The sequence below is a fragment of the Homo sapiens genome, chromosome 9 (genome assembly GCF_000001405.40).
Source record: "Homo sapiens chromosome 9, GRCh38.p14 Primary Assembly".
In the NCBI taxonomy this organism is placed as follows: Eukaryota; Metazoa; Chordata; class Mammalia; order Primates; family Hominidae; genus Homo; species Homo sapiens.
The window spans coordinates 20,487,102-20,511,719 of NC_000009.12; the positions used below are offsets into that span (position 1 = coordinate 20,487,102).

Consider the following 24,618-nt stretch of genomic DNA (forward strand, 5'->3'; position numbering starts at 1 on the left):
TAGAATTATGGCAGAGAGGGCATTAGCTAAATAAAAAGGTCCTAAAGCTGCCGAATAAAAGTTGCGAAGCAGAGCTAGTTTAACATGAAAATATTCCTCACCTCATCTTTCATTTCTTCTCCTGGTCTGCTAAATGTAAGGAGAAAAAAGGGTAAAAGTGCTCCTTATAAAGCAATGGACTCTGTTTACCTTTAATTCTAACTATCCAAGGCTAAAATCTTGCTGCTGTCTAGCAAAATCATAGGACTTTTGCTACTAGGATGAAATTCTATTTATGCCCAACATATGATTAAGTTATTTACAAAATAAATTAACAAATGCAGCTAGAAACCTGCCTCTGGAGAAGCTTATGGCCACTCGTAAGAGAAAAAACCTAACCTACTTTCAACCGGAGCCATGCTTTCCCATGTCAAACGTCAGAAAATTGTTTTATACTCCCTAATCAGTACTATTCATCACTTTCTTACAACAAGAAAGATGGCCATTTCCCTCTATTTTAGAAGGGTCCATCTGTACCAATAATTTAGTTATCAGACAACGTATCCACAATCCAAGTGGCACAATTTAGGAATAACTAATTCTTACCAAATTAATTTTAAAGCAACCTTGTGGTATGTGAGACATATTTATGTCAAAAATCAAGGCATTAGTGGTCTAAGAAAATAAGGGATTATTTCCATTGAATTCTAGTAGCCATAGACTAAACATTCAAGATGGTAAGTAAAAGATCTGAGGAAAACCAAACTGAAATTATATAGTATTTGAGAGAGATGAATATCAGTAAAACTCATAACTCAAAGTTCAAAGCTTTATTTTTTTTCTTCAATGGCATAGCACCTCTGTTAAAGACAAGTTATATTCATATATTCCAAATGTTCAAATCCTGCACATTAAAAATAATCAAAAGTACACAAGGCAGGTAAGGTTACTTACCTTTTTATTGTGCCTTAGGTGCAATAAATTAAATAAATTAAATCTGATACCCATAAACCAAATCTTCCTTGAAGGATAAGTGCTTTTGAGGTAAAGATTACAGAAACAAATTAATTAAGTCACATTAATAGAGACAGAAAGTAACAAAGTGGTTGCCAGGGGTCAGAAGGAGGGGGGAATAGGGAATTACTACTTAATAGGTAGAAACTTCCAGCTTGGGGTAACAAAAAAGCTCTGAGGATGGATAGTGATAATGACTGTGCAACAATGTGAATATGCTTAATGACACTGAACTGTACACTTAAAAAATGGTGAAAATGGCAAATCTAATGTTATATATTTTTACCACAATAAAAAAGAAAAAAACTAATAATCAAACTGATAATCTAAACTGAATGAAAAATTGAACAATGTGTACTCGTAGAAAAAGATTAAAAATTTGTTAGTAATTAGAAGACTTTAAATAAAGAGTGCGAATCATTTCCCTGATTACAGACTAATGACATCAGTAAGAATGACAATTTTCTCAACAAATGAAGCAAATATAATACTTTAAACTTATTCTTGTAACATGAATAGATCTCCAAAAATAGTTAAAATTTAAAAAGCAATATACAGAATCTGATTCTTTCAAAGAGCTTCTGAAAGATTTGCTCTCCTGAAATGAAATTTGGTAAGGGAGGCTCCAATTCACTGAAAAGTGGTTAATGTAAAGGAACAAATGCCCCGTTTTCCATGAAAGAAATTGTACTGCCAGATAAGGCTGTAAAACTTAAAGATCAGATAAATGGTGAGTGGACACTGCTGATCCAGATTTAGACAGAAAGGCATTCTTGAAAAGACTCACCATGTGAATGCCCAGCCAGCCTCTGTAATAAAATTCAAAGGCAGCAAGGCAAGCAAAGCACTTTGGCAAAAAGTGTTTCAACTACTCAGCACAAAAGAGGTATTTCATTTTATCTGTCTTCTTGGGGGGAAGATAGACATATTTTTAGACAGTATCTAAGTGTCAGAAAGATTCCAAGACATTAATACCATTTATGAACAAAGAGAAGTAACAAAGTGAACACTATTCCACAAAGTATATTAAACAAATTCCTTGTTTCTCCTGGCTTAACAAGGGAGAGCGGGTGGAAGGGTAGAGAGGTAGGGGACTGGCATGTCAATGGAATAGAAAGAATATTGGAAAAATAAATTTCGTAAAATTCTTTCAATGAATTGGTTCCTGAGTCAGATAGGTTTTTTATATCTACAGAGGCAGGCCTATGTAAATATCCTATAAACAATGTCATTAGAAGGTCTAACACCTTTTCAAAGATCTTGGCATCTTAAAGGTGAAGATTTATATTCTCTTTCTTGGCAGGTCTCTAATATGTCTAACAAAATCATTAAAGGGAGATTTAGTCAGATTTGTTGATCAGGAAAACATCCACAGATGGTAAGAGAAACTGTGGGTGATTATCACCTTGCTATTGTCTTTGGCCAGTAGGTTCAATATTTAGGGCTGCCACCCTGAAGACGTTAACAGAACCCTTCTATCTGCTGGAGCAATTGGCTAACTTTATACTCAGCCATCACAATAGCTGTACTTACAACCTATCTTCAAATACAAGATACAGAAGACATGGCTAAGAGTACCTAAAATTCCAACATATCCTGAAAAAGCACAATGCAAAACAACTCAGGGTCTGTGCTCCAATGACAGTAAGTCTGTCGTAGCAGCTTCCTATATAAACGGCAAGCTATTTTATTTTGTGATTTGATGACAATCAAACCTAGGGGAAAAGTTAAAGGGAAACTACATGTTGTAATTAATTTTCCAAGCAGGTGCCAGAGATACCAAATCAAACTCCTGTAATACTTTTTCTGAGTCAGGGAAAGAAAATGAAAAAAATAAGGAGAGAAATTACATTCAAGCTAACAACCAATGGCAAGTACTCAAATAAATACATGGCAAACTGTAAGGTGCTAAGGATACAAAAAGGAATACATGGTACCCACCTTCAAGGAATTTACTCTGTGCTCCTCTGATAAAGATGTGATTTCTTTCATCACTGCCAGTCACCTCCATGACTGCTCTTCACCATCACTGATTAAGTACCATGACAGGCAGAATTCTAAAGCTGCCCCCCAAAGATTCCTGTCCTCTGGCTATTTAACCAAACACTAATCTAGGTACTATTGTGAAGGGATTCTGCAAATATAAGTTTACTAATCAACTGACCATAGGATATGAAGATTATCCAGATGGTCCTAATCTAACCACATGAGACTTTAAAAGTGAAGAACTTTCTTCAGCTACAGTCAGAGAGATGGCGTACAAGAGAGAAGTCAGAGAGATTCTAGCATGAGAAGAATTTGTCACGCCATTGCTGGCTTTGAAATGTTAAGGGCCCACATTCAAGGACTGGAGAGATGCCTCTAGTTGCTGAGGGATGGCCCAGCTAACAGTTGGCAAAGAAACAGAGACCTCAGCCCCACAGCCACAAGGAACCAGATTCTGCCAACAACCTGAATGAACCTGGGAGCAGATTCTTCCCAGAGCCCAGCTGGCAACACCTAGATTTCAGCCTCAGGAAACCCACAGCAGAGAAACAAGTTGGGGCAGTCCCAGCTTCTGACCCAGAGAATCATGAGACAGTCTCGTTTTAAGCCACTAAATTTGTGTTAATTTGCTATAGCAGCAACAGAAAATTAATGCGAGAACTTACCATATGCAAGTATTTGGACACAGGAACCCATTTAATTCTCACAACAACCCTGAAAAGTTATCATCCTCCATTTTACACATGAGGAAACTAAGGAATAGAGAGTTTTAAATAATCTGCTTAAGAACACAGAATCTAGGATCTAGTAATGACTAGAGTGGTTTACTGTATATTCAAGAAAACTAATTGGCCCATAATGGTTATAATATGAATTAAAAATTGCAGCTGGAATTTGACTAAATTTCACTCAACAGGGAAATACTTTCATTTTAAAGATCAGAAAACTTTAAATGGTTTAAAATGAAAAGGTTCTCTAAATCAGAGGGGTACTTTTTTATAATGTCCTTAAGTGACGTTAATATATCATATAACGTCCTTAAGTCAACCCAACAGGAAAAACAATATTACTAAAAATAAATTCAAACCTATGTAACTATGTACTTCTTCCTGCATACTCAAAAATCAAGAGCAATACTTTGTCAATCAAAGGCTACGTTTTAACATTAATTTTTTTAATTCTTATCCACAAAACCATTTTAAATATGGTATTATATGAAGAAAAAAATGAAAGTAATTTTTAAAAACCATGTGAGAGAGTTTTTTCAAGAAAGAGAAAAATGAGGAACTATATACAGTACCACACTATTTAGAGGAGATACATCCCTGCTCAAGAAAGCAGAAAAATCCAGATAAACGCAATAATATAGAAAGACATCAGGGGCAAAATACAAACCAAAAATGAAATCTAATATTTATTTTATGAGGAAGATAAACAGCCAGTCAATCACATGCAATGGCTATAGAAGATGAATAAATGGCATTTCCTACTCCTCAAAGAGTTACTGCTAAAGATAGTAAAAATTTAAAAAGAATTTGAGTTTCTGTTAAGAGAGACTCAGTCAAAACTCAAGTGAGAAATCAACAACAGTTATATTCCAAAACAGTAAGTGTCAAAAAGTACAAATGGGAGAAATAATATTTGGGGAGATGATCTTTAAATAACCACATATACACCTGGAGCTTTATTCATCAGTAGCACTTTCTTCTACTGCTGATGTTTTCTTGTGTGACTTTTCACCATGAATTGTTGACTTTCAGAGCATAGTACAAAGAAAGATTGGGGAACACAGAAGATCGTGCACTGAGGAATAGCATGATATGGAATATGGAGTTTCTTCTCAAATAAACCAACCCTGGAATTCCAACCAGTAATGTGAATGTATGTTATTAAATGAACACCTATTTGTGTTTTGTGTACAGATACTGTACTCATGTCACTCTTAGGTTCAGTAATAAAACATTTATTAACCTATTTAGAAAAAAAGAGATGATTTCTAGCCTAATAAATTTAAAAGCTTAAATCTAACCATAGCTAATATTTTCTGTACTAATGTCCTATTTTTAAAACCTCCATCTTTGTCATTATTAATTATGCATATGGATTGATATCATTTATTTGCAGGTGTTCCTAAAGTAAATTGCATATATCTATTTAGATTTTTTCAAAGGCTGATAGCATACTAGTTGTAACTTAGAAAATGAAGGTACCAAGATCCTTTTTAACCTGTAAACTCTGCAAAACTGAATGGGCTAGAAAAAGAACTTACAGATAGTTTTGGTCATATCCTAGTTCTTAGGTTGGATGGTCATTTCAAGGATGTTCATTTTATTATTTTGTTTTACAGTTTATACTTTACATGCATTTATATGTTCCAAGTGTTACAGTTTAAAATGAACTCAAGAGGCGATATAATTTCTTGAAAATATAGTTATAAACATAAAAATAAAATCATGAAAACATCACTTCATTACTTCCCACACACATTAATTCTACCTAATTAAATTTCCCACATATATTAAGATATATATTAATGTGCTAGATTTAATAGAAAAAAATCATTTATATAAGAGCACAAAATAGTTACTCAAGAGAAATTAGCACCTGCTTCAAAACTAAAATCTCTAAACTAAATATCTAAGCAAAAGAATTCGCCTGAAAACTAAAATCTCTAACTTAAATATCCATTAATATGCTAAACTAAGAATTTTAGTAAGTACATAGAAAATATAGCTTATAGATCTGATCTTGAAAAACTTTTTCTCTGTCTATAAATTTAATGCCATAACACTCTCCAGCAACTAAAATGCTGCAGGCTAAATAGAAGTTTAGAGTTGTTTAGGATAGATTCATGACCTATCCAATTGATTGTCTTACCTTTAAATATTGGCCAAGAATGAATGTCACAAGTCAGTTTACAGACTGAATTGTGCACCCGTTTCCATTTTTTTTTCTACTATAGGTATTATTCCCATTTCCAATTTGTTTTTCTATTTGCCTAATGGATCATGCCTACTTCAATATTTTGCAGTAAAGAAAGCTCAGAGGATTAGGAGTTAAACATTATAAACTTTTTCTTATTATTAGAAACTTTATCTTCAAGTGTCTTCCTACTCTTGTTATTAGAAAAACATTGTTTAAAGACATTCGCCACATAAACAACTCATATTTCTCCAAAAAGCATCCTACCTATCCTATAGTAATTTATCAAAAAATAAGTTTCCAGCCTTTTCAACAGGTGTTTAAAATATGTTAAAGATAGAACCAGGTTAATCTGACCTATCCAACTCCAGCTTAGCTTTTAACACCCTGAAATAACATCCTTATCTTTTAACACTCAGGAAGGGTTAGTATTTCTTTATAAATAGTTCCTCAACTTCACAGACAAGTCTTTAAGGAAAGGTTTCCTATAAGAATGTAAATTTAAGTTCTGGCAAGCTATCTTAAAGAAAAAATCTTGACCACAGAAAAGCATTACACATAGATGCTCATTAGTATTATTTGTCATAGGAAGATAAAGAATCCACTTAAATATCCAACAAGTAAAAATTATTACCTAAATGGCATTCCTCTTATAAATATAATGAGACATCAAAAACAATGTTCACCCCAAAACATGTATAATTACATGAGAAATACCTTATGTTAAAGAAACTATGAAAAATAGGATAATTACAATTCTAAAAAACTGAAAAATACTATAAAGTATGTTAAGTTTTTCACATTATTGTCTTTCTGCAAATGGTACACAATAGACATGCATAATTTTTTAAATCTGTAACACCATAGTTATTTTCCTACTACTCATTCTTTAAAATATGCTGGTACCACAACCATTTTAACACCTAGTCCCCATGAAGCACATACCTCCTTCCTCACTTTTCTGGAACGCACATTTCCAACATACTCAACCATCTGAAATGCAGATGAAAAATTCTCAGATAGAAACTAACAATAGACTTGTCTTCAGGAAGATGCAATCAGTTCCTAAGTTTTCATTTATTATCCTGGATAACAAAGTCAAGCTGAAAACTATTAAAATATCTTTGTCAAAAATATATTTGACTATCCACAATCATTACAGCATATAAACACACTTTGGCTTCCATGATTCCTAGGAATTCTTTTATCAGCCTGTGTCAGGATCCTAAGGAATTTTCACAGTTGCTAAATGACTTCTGTGGTCCATCATATCACTCTACCGAGAGACATAGCCATTTGGCTACAGCTTTTACCATTCTTCAGGGGAGAAGAGGTTTATGCACAAATCCAGAAAGCTTTAAAGATGCTGATTTGCTCTGTTTTGTTTTTAATCATCAATTTCACTATAAAGGGTCAACTTAAAATTAAGAAATAATGGTTTAAGAAATAAGCAAATAATTCTTTGAAGTATTTGAATTTATCTCTGGGAATATTTTTTCCTAACCTCAAAGTCATACTGCAATGATATTTCCCAAATATAATCTAATTGCCTGAAGTTTTCTTTAAAAATATTCAAAACCTATCTATTTTAACAGCACGTGATGGCATTTTACCAGTGTTTTCAGGCTGCCACTTTAAAAGGTAAAACAAAGTGGTGACAGCTAAAAAGTCTTTTCAAATTAATTCCCCATTTTCATCCTTGAAACAGACAAATTTCCCTACCACGGACATTTTCTCAATATTGGAATGCTGTTCAAAATTACTCAAGGTGGTCCTGAGTTTGTTATTTGAATACCCACGAGCAATTCATTTAATTTCATATATATTAAAACTGAAAAAACAACTGTTTTATTAATTTTACAGGTACCAAATGGATCTTCCCAAGGGAAAGGAGTAAGCCCATAGTTGTACTATACATATATGCAAGATGATTTTTTTTCCTCCTAGGGTAATTTGCATCTGGATGAGAGGTTGGCTTTTAAATTGGCCCACTTTCATAAATTAAAAAATGTAATACATTTACAGCTAGCTGAATAGGAAATTTCTGTACTTCATTCCTGCCAAACTACAAGCAAGCTACTTAATTAATGGGAGTCTGCCATTATCTTTTTGCCCTCAAGAGAAGAACTAGGCCTATATAAATCATTTTTCTCTCTGTCCATCATACTTACTGTAAAAAGTTTAATAATATGGGCAACCATACCCAGAATTACACTCAGAAAACCTACTCCCTTGCTTCTCAGCGTGCTCTGCAAATCAGTGACATCAGTATCCCCTGGGAGCTTGTTGGAACTACAAAATCTCAGACTCCCCACTGCGACCTACTGAATCACAATTTGCATTTAACAAGATGCCCAGGTTATCAGTCTGCACATTAAAGTTTGAGAAGCACTAGTCTAGAGGTTAAGGTAGAAGGCAGAATGATATACTATCTCCTGCTTGCACGTTCTAAGTTGTAGAAAGCTGCAAAAAATCTACAGTCAGCAATGAATAAATCATTCCTAGAGATTACTGGTAAATCTTTAATTAAATGTGGCCTTTCCACATAGATTTAGAAAACGTGTGTGGCTGATGCTCAGTGCCTATTAACAGCGTTTTCATTACACAACCGGAACTAGATTTTTTAATAACATACTGAAAATAGGTATATCTGTTCACCATTCTCTATTAACAAAGCATTCTTACTAAAGAATTGTCCTCTTTTTCAAGCCTAAGATGGGTCTTGTGGATGAAATCTATTTTTAGTTGCTCCAAGTTAAAAAATGTTTTAAAGAACCTTAATGTAAGAATCCTAATTGACCAATTTGAGGAAGCATTTACTTCACAAATTAATTTAAATATGCTTGAGACAAATACATAACCCCTATCATAGGCCCTCGGCTCACAGTAGACAGTCAATGTTATACCTGTAACAAAGGGTCCTCATAATTTCAAGAAGGATTTTCATAAGACAATACCAAATAACAGGCTCCTGGAAATTTATAACACAGTTTGAGTCACAAAAGTACAATTTGCAGAACTTTCCATAGGTTTGCCCAATATGCAACATGTCACACTTGTACTGACCTGTGCTTAGTCCACAGAATTTTTAACAAGATGCTTTCTATAAGGATTTCAACTGTAACCTACCACAAAAGTGCTCTGGGAATAACTTTATCCCTCTACAATCATTGCCTTGTTCTAAACAGAGCCCTAAAGTAAATTAAATCTTTAGAAAAACACACTTTTTTGTTTGTAAAGAAAGAAACATTTCCTGAATGCTACAGAATGTTTCCTTGAGAAACTGTTTATGTTACTGTGTTGAAAAGGTGTTTATGTTGCTATAAACACCTTCCATGTAACAGGGGATGCAGTCTCCCCATTGTTTATATTGTAATCAGCCCTGTTTCTGGAAAGATCTAGGCTTATAATTCATGCCTGGACTAACCTTCACTCCATTCTATCCCAATTAGATCACTCCAAATTATATTCTATATTTGTTTAGCATAATTGACACGTCACATGAGTACAGGGGAGGTTAGGTTCATAACACGCACTGTAAAAACACACACACACATTAAAAAAAATAAGCACTACAATTACAAAGCTCATTAATTAGCAGGATGTTGTGGTTTGTGCTGTGTTAGCCTGGTTAAGCTGAAACTACTTTTCCTAGGATCTTCCAGTATGGTTCTAGGTTAAAGTTGACATGGAACCAGAAAGTAGAATTTGCACAGATTTGGAAGCCAAAAATCGTCATGGTTACTATATTGACAGTCCACTATGCCAGTGGATTCAGGCTTATCTTTGCTCTTCTCAAATCCCTGTCCAACTTCCTCTACAGATAAACAGTGCTTTAGGCCCAACATACCTATACAGATGATAGGTACACTGAGGCACAGCTTCTCAGAGACACTTCCCCAAGAGCCTTTCTCAGACTAAGTGGGGACACCACTGATCCTCCAACTTCCCTCTTGGACTTTCACTTGTCAAGCTTCCACTATAAATGCTTAAGATTTAATTTCTATAATAAATTCCTTATGCTAATAACTCATTGGAGTTCTTCTTCCGTGATCAAACCACAACTGATTCTCAAAACGGTTTACTTGTTGGCTCTAGATTTAAATGGTTTCTTGTCATTAAAGACATGCTGTAGTATCCAGTAGTAAATGGCAACGCAAACTTCACCTTCTGATATTCAGTTGACAGACAGTAGAATATGGCCTGGGGTCTAAACCCCTCTGACCTCCCAAACCTTCATTTTTTTCTATAACTTTTCAATGTTCTTTTTGCTCTATCTTTATTAACCACAATTGACATTAAAAATCACATATTTAAAGTAATACAATTTGATATGTTTTGACATAAATATATACCCAGGAAACCATCACCATAGTCAAGATAAGGAACATCCATCAACCCCTAAAAGTTTTCCCCGACCTTCATGATCCTTTCCCCTCCCTGCCCTGTCTAGGCTCCATTTTCAGGTAACCACTGATCCACTTCCTGTTCTTATAATTATGCTGCATTTTATAGAATTTTGTATACATGGAATCATACAATGTGTATGCTTTTTCAGGGGTTGGCATCTTTCACTAAATGTAATTATTTAAATTACTTTGAGAATCACCCATGGTGTTGGGTATCAATAGTTCATTCCTCTTTATTGCTGAGTAGTGTTTTATGATGTGGAATTTCCACAATTTGTTTATCCATTCCCTGTTGGTGGACATCTGGGTGTCCTTCAGTTTGGGCCAATTACAAAAAAAAGTTCTTATGAACTTGTATAAGTGTGTAAGTCTTTGTATGGATATATACTTTCAATTCTCTTGGGTAAATACCTACAAGCAGAATGATTGGGTAGGTATGTCCTTAATGTTTTATGAAAATTTTTTAAAAACTGTTTCCAAAGTGATTATACCATTTTAAGTGTCCATCAGCTAGGTAAAAGAACTCTTCTATGGGTGCAGTGGCTCATGCTTGTAATGCCAACACTTTGGGACAGTGAGGCGAGTGGATCACTTGAGGCCAGGAGTTCGAGATCAGTCTGCCTAACATGGTGAAACTTTGTCTCTACTAAAAAATATAAAAATTAGCTGGGCGTGGTGGCATGCACCTGTAGTCCCAGCAACTCAGGAGGCTGACGCAGAGAATCACTTGAACCTGGGAGGTGGAGGCAGAGGCTGCAGTGAGCAGAGATGGCGCCACTGTACTCCAGCCTAGGTGACAGAGCGAGACGCTGTCTCAAAAAAAAAAAAAAAAAAAAAAAAAAAAAAAAAAAAAAAGTTCTTCTAGCTGTTCTACCTTTACCAGTACTTGGTGTGGTCAGTCTTTTAAATTTTAGCCATTCTACTGAGAATGTAATACTCTTCTATTGGTTTTAATTTGCATTTTCCTAATCACTTATGATGTCGAGTATCTTTTCTTGTGCTTCTTTCACATCTGTATATCTCCTTTGATGAAGTGTCTATTCAAATCTTTTGCCCATTTTATAACTGAACCATCTTATTATTCAGCTGTAGGTTATTCATATAATCTAGATCAAGCTTGTCCAACCCGCCGACCACAGGCCACATGCAGCCCAAGATGGCTTTCAATGCGGCCCAACACAAATTTGTAAACTTTCTTAAAACATTATGAGATTTTTTTGTGTGTGATTTGTATTTTTTTTAGCTCATCAGCTATCAGTAGTGTATTTCATGTGGGGCCCAAGACAATTCTTCTTCCAATGTGGCCCAAAGAAGCCAAAAGATTGGACACCCCTGATCTGGATTCATGCCCTTGTCAGACATATGTTAACAAATATTTTCTCCCAGGCTGTGGCTTAACTTTTGTAACTTTTGAAGAGCAAATTGTTTTTATTGTTTCAATATAACTTTAAGCACTAAAGCATACTGCCTTAGTATTAGTGTATTAGATTCCTAGGGCTATTGTAACAAAATACCACAAATAGGGTGGCTTGAAACAACAGGAATTTAACCATTCATGCTAGAATTCTGAAATCAAAGTGTCAGTAGGGCCATATTCCCTCTGAAAGCTCTAGAAAAGAATCCTTCCTTGACTCTCCTAGCTTCTGGAGGTTGCTGGCAATCTTTGAAATGCATTTCTTAGTTGTAGCAGCATAACTCCAATCTCTGTCTCCATCTTCCCATGGGCTTCTTCCTGCCTCTGTATCTTCATATAAAGTATCTCCTCATAAAGACAGCAGTCACTGGACTTGGGCCAACAGTAATCCATGATGACCTCATCCTAAATTGATCACATCTACAAAAGACACTATTTCCAAATAAGGTCACATTCAAAGGTACCTGGGGTTAGGATTCAACATATATTTGGGAGGATATAACTCAGCCCATAACAGGCATTTAGTGTTTAATATGTTTTTAAAACCCACTGTAAATGATACAGGGAGGCTATGCATGTGTGAGGGGAGAGGGTACACAGGATATTTCTACATCTTCCTCTCAATTTTGCTGTGAACTTCAAACTGCTCTAAAAACATTGTCTTTAAAAAAAACACACACTGAACAATAAATTATTTGACATAAGCTCTGACCTCCTTGAAACAGTCCATTTTTGCTGCAATAACTGTTCTCATAGAGATACCTTCGAAATCATTTGCAGAATTTACCCATGGTCTTATTTCCCCAAAATAGATGCATTCCTTGCAATACAATCAGCTCAGCTTAAGGGTCTACCCTGAGCTGTCCCCTTATTAACAACTGTTAGGTAAAGGTACATGAAGAAAAAAACTTGTATGACTGTTTCTTTTAAGATCTCTATTGTTCTGTCTCCAAATAGGGTGTAAAAATGTAGCATCCTCCTGTAGTCCCAGCTACTCAGAAGGCTGAGGCGAGAGGATTATTTGAGCCTAGGGCTTTGAATCCAGCCTGGACATCATAGCAAGAACCTGTCTCTTAAAAAAAAATGTGGGGGAACAGGTGTTAATGCAGTGACAACTCTAAATCTGCATTCAGAGATGCCTCTTATTCCATCCCTGTCTTCCTTCAATACCACCTAACAGAAAATGGAAAAATGCTTCTCCAAAGAAACATGTTCCAATTATCTATTGATACATAATAAGTCACCATCAAGCTTAGTTTAAAACAGTAATAGCCATTTTACTTTCTCTGAGGGTCAGGAACTCAGAAAGGTTTGATTGTGTGGTTCTAGCTCAGAGTTTCTCATTTGGCTGCACTGAAATGGTGCCTGAAGCAAGAGCGGTGCAGGGCTAGCAGGGCAAAGGTCTGGCTGCTTAATACAGTTGGTCTTCTCAGGGCCCTTGGTCTCTCCTCACAACACAATGGCCTCTGAGCAGCTGGACTGCTTACATGAAGGCTGCAGGTTTCACAACTGAACACCGTATTTCAACAAAGAAAGGAGCATCACCTTTTCTGATCTAGCTTCAGAAATCACATAGCATCATTTCTGCACTACTCTATTGGCTGAAACAGGCACAAAAGCCAACCTAGCTTCAAAAAGAAAAGACAAAGACCCTACCTCTCAAAGACAGAAGTAGCAAAATCAACTGTGAGAAGAGCATGTGGGTGAAAGATAACTTTACGGAAATCTTTGGAAAATTCAATTTGCCCCAGAATATATCCTAGTTCTCCCTGGGGCATCAAGAACTATTGACCACTCAGTTCAAATTAAATTCTAAGGCAAAGCTATACACTGACATGCCCAGGCTCAATATTTTCCCCATTCTTATTTCTCCCAATACTGTTTTCCATCTTGTCTACTACAGTTGAGTATACCCTATTGACTTTGGTCCTCCAGGTGTTCTGTGTTACAAAAACCGAATTCAGAAGTTACTTACCACAGGTCATATAGAGAAACTAATAGCAATCTCTTGATGCACAGCTGCATCATTTTCAACTCCCTCCAGTTCAATGTCTTCTTTAAGTTCAATGCCCAGAAACCTGGGTTACACTCTAGCCCTCCCAATAATTATTAAGAATTGCCTATAATTCAGAGTTTCAAATCATTCTTTCATTAGTTTAAAGTGAATTTCCCATTATAAAACACACAGATACACACACACATGCACACACATGTGCACCACTTTCCTTAGCTAAATATGATTGATTTTTGGATAATTTACCAATTATGGTTCATGGTATCCATTCACTAGTTAAAATGCCTAGGAATTACTATATTTCCCTTTCTACTTCCATAAATCATGATGTCACAAATCTTTATTCAAATATACCATTTCTAGGACACCTCATTTACTTTAAGATTCTCTCATTCTCCATAAAATGTAATGGAAAATAAATTCCACACAATAAATATTGATGGAACACTGAATACATACCAGGCCTTCTGCTATGTGTGAGGTGACGAAGGCAAATAAGACAGTTTCCTTCCCCTCACATAGTTAAGGCATCTAACTATGAAGACAAATTTACCAACAACCATGATTATTACTTACAATATCCAAAGGAGCCCTCATTAAGACCTAGGAGACTCAGTTAAAACCACACCCGGCCGGGCACGGTGGCTCACGCCTGTAATCCCAGCATTTTGGGAGGTCGAGGCGGGTGGATCATGAGGTCAGGAGATCGAGACCATCCTGGCTAACAAGGTGAAACCCCGTCTCTACTAAAAATACAAAAAATTAGCCGGGCGCGGTGGCGGGCGCCTGCAGTCCCAGCTACTTGGGAGGCTGAGGCAGGAGAATGGCGTGAACCCGGGAAGCGGAGCTTGCCGTGAGCCGAGATTGCGCCACTGCAGTCCGCAGTCCGGCCTGGGCGACAGAGCGAGACTCCGTCTCAAAAAAAAAAAAAAAAAAAAAAAAAAAAACCGCACCCAAGAGGTCAGGCGAGGTGGCTCAGACCTGTAATCCCAGCATTTTGAGAAGCCAAAGCAGGCAGATCACCTGAGACCAGGAGTTCGAGACTAGCCTGGCCAATATGGTGAAACCTCGTCTCTACTAAAAATACAAAAATTAGCTGGGGGTGGTGACACACACCTGTAATCCCAGCTACTGGGGAGGCTAAGGCAGGAGATTCACTTGAACATGGGAGGCGGAGGTTGCAGTAAGCCAATATGGTGCCATTGCACTCCAGCCTGGGCAACAAGAGCGAAACTCCATCTCAAAAAAAAAAAAGGGGGGGGGGGGGACTACCTTTTAAGGAAAAGTAGGTAAATATCTGACAATAATAAAACGAAGAGTACTGATTGTTGACAAAGTTAAAATGTAAGCAAAAATTCCAGAGTATACAGAATGCCTGGCTTGACAGGGCACCACAAATGAACCTGACTTGAAGTGTGGTTCCAGGTGCCTACCTTGTTAGCCTCATGACCAGCCACAAAGAGCCATATTTGTGTCTGATCATGAGACTAACAAGGTAGGCAAATGCCAGCCTGTGATGTTCCTTACATAGCACTGTAAGGAGCTGAATTCTACAGGTAATAGCTAGCCACCAAGTATTTTTAAGAGGTGAAAAAACTTGCAGACAACGTGATCTTATACAGTTGCTTGTCTATATCCATGGGTTCCACATCTGTGGATTCAACCAACCACAGATTGAAATATTAGGAGAAAAAATTACATCTGTACTGAACTTTTTTATTGTCATTATTCCCTAAGCAATACAGTATACCAACTATTTATATAACATTTACAATGTATTAGTTATTATAAGTAATCTAGAGATAATGTGTAGTATACAGGAGAATGTGCATAGGTTATATGCAAATACTATGCTATTTTATATCAGAGATTTCAGAATCCATGGGTTTGGGTATCCACAGGAGGTCCTGGAACCAATCCCCTGCAGATACTGAGGAATGACTGTAGACAAACAACCCTAACATCTCCATCAAAAAACTGTTAGAACTAATAAATAAATTCAGTGAAGCTGCAGGAAACAAAATCAACATCATTTTTCAAACATCAGTAGCATCTGTATATGCTAACAATGAGCTATCTGAAAGATAAATTAAGAAAACAATCCATTCACTACAGCAACCAAAAAGAACAGAATGCTTAGGAAAAAATTTAAACCAAGAAGTTGAAAGACCTGTACACCAGAAACTATAAAAGATTGATGAAAAAAACTGAAGACAACACAAATAAGTGGAAAGACATACTGTGTTCACAAGTGGAGAAATTAATAGTGTTAAAATGTCCACACTACCCAAAGTGATCTACAGATTCCCCAATCAAAATTTCAATGACATTTTTTACAGAAATAGAAAAAACAATCCTAAAATTTGTATGGAACCACGAAAGACCCCAAATATCTGAAGTAATCTCAAGCAAAAAGAACAAAGCTAGAGGCATCACACTATCTAACTTCAAAGTATACTACCAAGCTACAGTAATCAATACAGCATGCTGCTGGTATAAAAAGAGACACACAGATCAATGGAATGGAATAGAGGGCCCAGAAATAAATCTACACATATACAGTCAATTGATTTTCAACAAAGGTGCCAAGAATGCACAATGGGGAAAGCACAGCCTCTTCAATAAATGGTGTTAGGAAAACTGGACACCACACACATAAGAATGAAATTCGACCCTTACTTCATACTAAATATAAAAATCAACTCAAAATGGACTAAAGATTCAAATGTAAACCTTGAAACCATAAAAATACTAGAAGAAAACATAGCAGAAATTCTCCATGACATTATTCTGGGTGATGATTCTTTGGATATGACCCCAAAAGCACAGGCAACCAAAAACAAAAACAAAAAAATAGATAACTGGGATTACATCAAACTAAAGAGCTCTGCACAGCAAAGAAAACAATCAACACACTGAAAGACAACCTGCAGCCTGGAAAAAAATATATGCAAACCATGCATCTGATAAAAGACTAATATCCAAAATATATGAGGAACTCAAACAACTCAATAGCAAGAAAATAAATAACCTGATTTTAAAATGGGTGAAGGACTTGAAAAGACATTTCTCAAAAGACGACATACAAATAGGCAACAGGTGTATGAAAAAATGCCCAACATTACTAATCATCAGAGACATGCAAATTAATACCACAATGAGATATCACTTCACACGTGCTAGAATGGCTATTATCGAAAAGATGAAGATAGATTTTTGCAAGGATATAGAGAGCAGAGAAAAAGGATCCACTGTATACTGTTGGTGGGAATGAAAACTAGTATAGCCATTATGGAAAATTTTAAGGTTCCTCAAAAATTAAATTATTGACCTAGCAATTCCAAAACTGTGTATACATCCAAAGGAAACAAAACCAGTATTTCAAAAAGATATCTGTACTTCCATTTTCACTGCAGTACTAGTTACAATAGTCAAGATATGGAATCAACCTAAGTGTCCATGAAGAGAAGAATGGACAAAGAAAATGTGAAATATATATCCCCAATGGAATTGTGTGTGTGTGTGTGTGTGTGTACAAATATAATTATATTAAAGGCTGAATACTATTCAGCCTTTAAAAAGAAGGAAATCCTGTCATTTTCAACAACATGAATGAACCTGGAAGACATTATGTTAAGAGAAATAGGCCAGACACAGAAAGACAAATAATCACATGATTTCATGTGTATGTGTAATCTAAAAAAGCTGAACTCATTGAATCAAAGAGTAGAATGGTGGTGGGTGGGGGCAGGTGGAGAGTTGGGGAGATGTTGTTCAAAGGATATAAAATTTCACTTGATAAGAGGAATAAGTTCAAGAGATTTATTGTACAATATGGTGACTACAGTTCATAACAATGTATTTTATTTTGAAAAACATTAAGGGGATTTTAAGTCTTCTCACCACAAAACATGATGAGTACCTGAGATAATGCATATGTTAATTAGCTCAATTTGGCCATTTCACAATGTATACAGATTTCCACATCATGTTATACACTATAAATATGTATAATTTTTATTTTTCAATTTAAAAAATTATTTTTTTAAGTAGAAAAACTTGATGAGACCCATGTTTTCAGAAAGGTATTTGTCCACAATGAGAAAAATGGTTTGACGGAAAGGAGCCCAAAAGTAGGAAAAATTACTAAGTTCAGGTGAAAAAAAAGAAGGGCTCACCATAAGTCAAAAGACATGAAGTGAACAAAACAGATGCAAGAACATCCAATTTAGTGACTGATGGCTTGAACCAGAACAGGGGGTGGTTGCTGGTGGGGTGTTGGTGGTAATCAAAGCATCCTGTCAAAATGAGAATCTACAGAAGTTGGTGAGATGCATGTGTCAAAGTCAAATAGATCAAAAGCTAAGAGAGGAAATAAACCAAGATGACAGTGATTTTAAACTCACTTTCTGCAAGAAGCTTGGTTAATTTTAAAACATCATCCATAAATGGCATACTAAGTGACAGAATATGACCTCAACACATAATCACAAATTTAAATAGTAAGACTTTTCATCATGGTGATCACCTTATTTGCTAAATTATAAACTTTTTTTTCCTCCAACAAAATTGGAATGTAGAAACCAGAGTGCCTGAGATGTCAGAGAACAAGAAACTTTAAAAACAAAGTCATAAAAATGAATAACAGAATAAAAATGGAATCTGTACAAAGTACACATATGTAACAGCAAAAATAACAAGTGGGCAGAGGATAAGAATTCGAAGAGGTTAGCCTATAAGTTCTAAAATAAAAACTCTTCTATTTCAGTAATTCCTCATTCATCCTTACCTTGGCTTATGGCATTGTTTCCTATGCCTCACTTGAAGATGTCTGAAAGGACTATCGTGACACACATTTGTCCTGTTACAAAGAAGTGGGCTTGATTGCTCCAACAGTTGGTAGGTTTTTCCTCGTCCTCTATGCCTGTATTGCGTCACCTCGGAAGGCTTATGTTACAGGTAAGCAGTAGGCCAGGCATGTAACATTAGAATATATCCAAGCATTAACTGTTCATACTACCACTAGTTTAGATACCCCCTCAGTGTGATCCCAGCTCAGCCATTTTTCAGCTGTTGTTACGTGAGCTAAAATGTCCTTCATGGTCCAACTTTACATTCCCAAAGATGGTACAGAAAACATGCATTTCTGTCTTGCTATGTCTGAAAAACAAGGGATAGTTGGTCACTGACAGTAGTCACTGTTTAAAAGTCACCAGCCCTGCTCTTTCTTTTTTTCTCTCTTTTTTTTTTTGAGATGTAGTCTCCAGTGCAGTGGCACGATTTCGGCTCACTGCAACCTCTGCCTCCCAGGTTCAAGCAATTCTCCTGTCTCAGTCCCCCAAGTAGTTGGGATTACAGGTGCACACCACCACGCCCAGCTAGTTTGAGACGAGGTTTCTCCATGTTGGCCAGGCTGGTCTTGAACTTCTGAGCTCAGGAGATCCGCCCACCTCAGCCTCCCGAAGTGCTGGGATTACAGGCGTGAGCCACCGTGCCCGGCCCCTGCTTTTTCAAGAGAACTGGCTGATGAGCTTCCTGGGACCACTGGTTAGACTGCTGGCTCTCCCTTTCCTCTGCAGCCTCTCCATCCTGAATACAATTCCAGAGCCATAACCGTCAAGTAAATGCTTTTTTTTTTTAACCTTTTAAATATTAAACAACTATACAAAGCCAGTCTTCAGTGAAACATGCTGTTAGTATAAGGATACAGATTTCTGGCGTTGACTCATTTCCAGTTATTATGCATTCCAAATCACATGCCAAAATTTTAATGAACTTTCAAATTTACATTTATGAAAACAGACCTTGGCACACATAAATAGGTTATTTTTCCATATCACTTTTCAAAAGGTGCCTCATAGCTAAAATGATTCTGAGCTGTCTTCTGTCATTCAAGATGAACTCTACAAAAGAACTTAGTGTTCTTACTTTTACACTAATTTATTCTACATTCATTTTAGTCAGCATATGGCAAGCATATGGGAAAGAGAAGTGTATCTGGAAGCTGTTAGAACTGCATGTAATCAAAATCTACCAGTAGAAACCTAATTTGATTAATTGAAAATTAAAGTAGTAGTTAATCACTTGCTATTTAAGTAGGGGGTGGGTATCACTTAAAAACGAATCTTTCTCAAACATGTAAAATTAATTCTCTTTGTTCCAAATCAACACTTACTATTCAATTGGCAGTATGAAGAGTGCAAGGCACCCCCTAAAACCTTTAACAAGTAGGCCCTGGCTTAATGCGAAAGTGAGTAGTAAATTTTCAAGACGGTGTCTACATTTGAAAGAGAACTGTTTCTTAAAACATCACTTTAGCAGTTAATTGACCTTTAAAAGAAGGGAAAGGGGACTAGCTGAATCCAGATCAAGTTCCACCGATATCTACCTCTTAAGTTTTGAAGCTTACAAACAATCTACAAATTCATATAATCTGTTAATTGAGCATCTTTCGGCAATCTACTTCTTACTTACAAGGCACCAAAAGAAAATCAGTGTCTGGGGAAGAGCTAAGGAAATATTTCTGAAGCCTAAAATTGCCTCCCCCAAGTTGACTGCAGCCTAGGCTCAAAACTTCCTTCATTTTTTTAAAATGAGAATGTTAACCCTACAAAAACGTATTCATAAAAAGGTCCTAGTTTATATAACATTTCTTAAAGCTTGCCTTTAAAAAAGAGACCCTTATAGGTTTCCTCCTTTCTTCCCAAATCTTTGGTCTAACAAAGTAATCAAAACCAAAATTAATCTCATGTTCAAAGCCAGCAGATGATTTCTCAAGATTACCCAATTTCTTCCTGCCCATGCATGCAAGAATTTGCTTATTAACTTCCTCAAAGATAGAGCAGCAATATTAGAAGAAAATTAACCAATCACAAAATGTCATGTAGTCTATTCCCAAAATGGAAAAAAAAAAAAAAAAACAAATCTCAAGCCCAGAAAAATAGATAAATCAATTGGCTCAACATTTTAATGTTAAAATCATAATAGAATAAAAGGAAAAGGAAAGGTACTCTTCACAATAAGAATCTATAACAATCCAAATAAAGTATGCCTAAAATCATGATTAGACATCAAAATATAACACATTTGTTTAAAAAAAGAATAAAAGCAGTTTACATGAGGGGAGAGGTAGCCATAATAAATCTGGAAATTAATTCAATAACATTAAGATATTCAAATGTATATTCCCTGCTGCTTAATCCAAAAGGAGAGGTTCTATTTCAATGCATCACAATAAAATAGTTTAGCATCTGTCTCCTACTAACCAGAATCACAGATTTTGAAACTGCTCTAAATTTAAAATACTGCAACTTTCCCATCATAATGTTCTTATTTATGGTCTCACAAAACTGCAGGTAAATGAAAAACCTACAGAACACTTGAAACAAGTAAGGATGACAACAGATCCATTCCCTTACCTCTCACCCCACATTCCGCCCTTCCCCTTTTATAAAGAAAAATGTCTTCAGTCCTATCAGTTTCCTTTCACAAACACTCTGCATCATGTATCCTCAGGAGGCCCATCCACTAAAAGGAGAATGAAAGTGTTTACAGATGGTAGAAAGAGATAGGAGAGGACACTACCGCAGTGCCAACACTATCATCCCAGGATCTAGAGACCTAAAGCAGAAGAAATTCTAGTCAACAAAACCCCAGTCATAACTGTAGGGAGGAACTGAAAGTAAATCTTAGAGGTAAAGAATGAAGAAGACAAAAGATTAAAAATTCAGGCACAAGAAATGATTTAGATGGGTAAGAACAAACCACTGCTTTACAAAGTCAGACTTCATACAATTCAAGTAGACTAGCCTCGTAAATTAAAGAAACTTAACAGAACAAAAAGTAATAAATTCATAAAAAAAAGTTTTAAACCCAAACGGCTAAAAAGATTTGACATGTTCACTAATGGAAGTATAAAATAAGTATCTATAAACCCCATAGGTCCAGCAAAAACAAAATATGGCTAAGCATCCCCATTTTACAATACTGAAAAACATTTCCATTTTATGGTATCACTAATTCATATGGCTGTCGTCTCTACATCCTCAAGGAACTCATAACCAAAAGAATATGGTATATGATTTCATTTTAAATAATTTCATTTTTAAAGTCTGGTGATTGTGTGTTTGGAAAGGGGTGGTGAAGACATGACAAGGAATTACAGGTCAATGTACATCAGTGGGAATCAGAAGCACAAGGTCTCTGTTCTTTTCATGCAAGAGAGGTATCTATTGTCCTAGGCTTCATATTGCATATGATGTATGTACAATGCCCACAACCGTTTACATTCCATGAAGATCTAATGAACTCCAGTTCTGAGTGGGTTCTTCAAACTCTCTCCATTCAGAGTCCAGACTGGGTACCCAGAACATCTGGTAGCACAAATCACTGAAGTCTACCAAAGATGGCAATCTTTTTGTTTTATGGTGGATTCCTTTTTTTTAAGTATGTTCACCATGGACAGTATACTCATTAAAATATGTACTGAAAGGTATATTTATTCTGTTCAAAGTTCAGCTGAAATGTAGTGGGGGAAAAGCTTTTACTGTTTCTTTATAATTCTTTGACTCTAGATAAAAATGGTTCTCACTCTTTAGTTGTGCTTGTAGTGGCTTTAAGTCATTGAAACACCCAGGCATTGAGTAAGAGGTGGCCCTTTTGAATTTGTTGAAGATGTGTTTCTCTTCTACCTTGGTCTTTCTCCTAAGCATTAATATCTACAACACTTGAGGTTTTGGCTTTTGTTTAAGCATAAATAATTGAAATACTGTATGATACCATGTTAAAAATAAGCCACCACGCCAAGACTGTATTAATAGCACAGTTCAAGTCACTGCTGTAACGTACATGGCACTGCATCTTTCACTAACAAACGAAATGTAACCTGAACTTTGTCTTACACATAGCCTTGAAAACAGATATTTCATTACTACCACATATTTTTGTTTTATATCCTGCCAAATGATTAACTAAGTTTTATTGTAAAAGAACTGTCAATCAGAGCACAGTATAATGATCAGGGTACAATTATTATTTTTTTTTTTTTACATCTGATATCCACCACTTACAAACTTAGGCAGGCCAGTTGGCTTCCTGGAAGCTCAGGTTCTTCATAAAGATGAGAATATCAACATTACCTTAGCTGAATTATGTGAATCAAATGTGAAAATGTTTTATAAACCCTAAAATTCTATTTTTAAAACCATGAAGGAAAGACTGACAGGCTATATTAGATAAATATTAAATATTTCTGCTTGGCGAAAGAGCAAGGCACCACCACTATCAAATGATAAACTAGAAGAAAATATGTGTAACACATCTGAAAAAGAGTTAATGTCTTTAAAGAATTCCAACAACTTGATAAGCAAAAAGAATCCAAGAAGGAAAAAAATGAGCAATGAATAGGAGAAATGTGAATAAACTTAAAATATGCGAAAAGGTACTCAACCTTACTGGTTGGCAGAGATACACAAATAAAAGATCAATTTTGCCGCCAGGCGCGGTGGCTCACACCTGTAATCCCAGCACTTTGGGAGGCCAAGGTGGGCAGATCACGAGGTCAGGAGTTCAAGAGCAGCCTGGCCAACATGGTGAAACCTCATCTCTATTAAAAATACACAAAATTAGCCAGGTGTGGTGGAGTGCACCTCTAATCCCAGCTACTCAGGAGGCTGAGGCAGGAGAATCGCTTGAACCCAGGAGGCAGAGGTTGCAGTGAGCCAAGATCATATGACTGCACTCCAGCCTGGGCGACAGATCAAGACTCCATCTCAGAAAAAAAAAAAAAAAAAAAAGATCCATTTTGCAAAAACTTGGTGATTGTTAATATTCAGAGTTGGTAGTACTATAAGGAAATGTACATTTTCATACATTACTTGGGAGAGGGGTTTGAAAGTTTCTACAATCTTCCAGAAAGCATTTGGTAAAATGTTATTATTTAAATTTTTTAAATTATACATCCTTTAGTCTAGGAATCCCACTTTCAGTGTTTATTCAACTGAACTAAAGCACCAGCATTTAAAGATATGTACTCAAGAATGCTTTGCCATTACTGCTTAAAAGAACAAAAATTGGAAATGTGGTTGCCATCAATACCAGAAAGGCTAAATAAATCACATTTGGTTCTCTCTATAGAATATTATGCAGCCATTAAAAATAATGAATTATATATCTGCATCTATTAACCTCAAAATAAGTCCAAGATATGTTTAAGTGAAAAATTAAAGTCAGAGAATAATCATGTGACTGGTATTATTTAATATTATAAAATTTAAAACAAATTAAAACATTTTAAACATGTCTATTAGAGCCTAATACTAGAGTGGTGGTGTATGTGTGTGTGCATGTTCATATGGAAGGATGCTTATTAATTTCTGGGGTGACTGAGTTATAAAACTTAAACGTATTACTTTTGTAATTTAAAAAAAACTTCAAGAAAAAAATAAATAATTAAGAACAAATGAAACTGATCAGACCCAGTATTGGAAAGAATATATGCAAATACAAACATATGCAAATAATAAAAAATTGCAATTGCAATACCTTTTCTTCAAACACAAAAAAATTAATCTACCAAGAAATTTTAAGTATAACACAATGAGTTACAAGCTGGAATCTTTACAGTACAATTCCTTCTCTCAAACTATTACCAGAAGTAAAAGCAACAGTGAATTACATTATAAGATGGTAGAAAAGGCGTTATGCTATGAAGCATCATTAAATGTATCACATACATTGGGAGGCTGAGGCAGGAGGACAGCTAGAGCCCAGGATTTCATGGCCTATGACAGAGCCTATGAATAGCCACTGTACTCCAGCCTCACAACATAGTCCCTAAGAAAATATGTAAGATTTTTTTTTAAATGCATCACATACAGATA

General features: G+C 35.8%; 1 protein-coding gene and 1 non-coding gene across 3 annotated transcripts in view; both read right to left on the bottom strand.

The window, feature by feature from the left end:
- The window catches only part of MLLT3 (MLLT3 super elongation complex subunit), a 280,831-nt gene that overhangs the window by 145,433 nt on the left and 110,780 nt on the right, over positions 1–24,618 (bottom strand). The gene's annotated exons all lie outside the window — the stretch shown is intronic.
- Positions 15,164–15,241, bottom strand: MIR4474 (microRNA 4474). Its single transcript, NR_039685.1, has one exon. It is a non-coding gene; the product is annotated as a microRNA 4474 (primary transcript).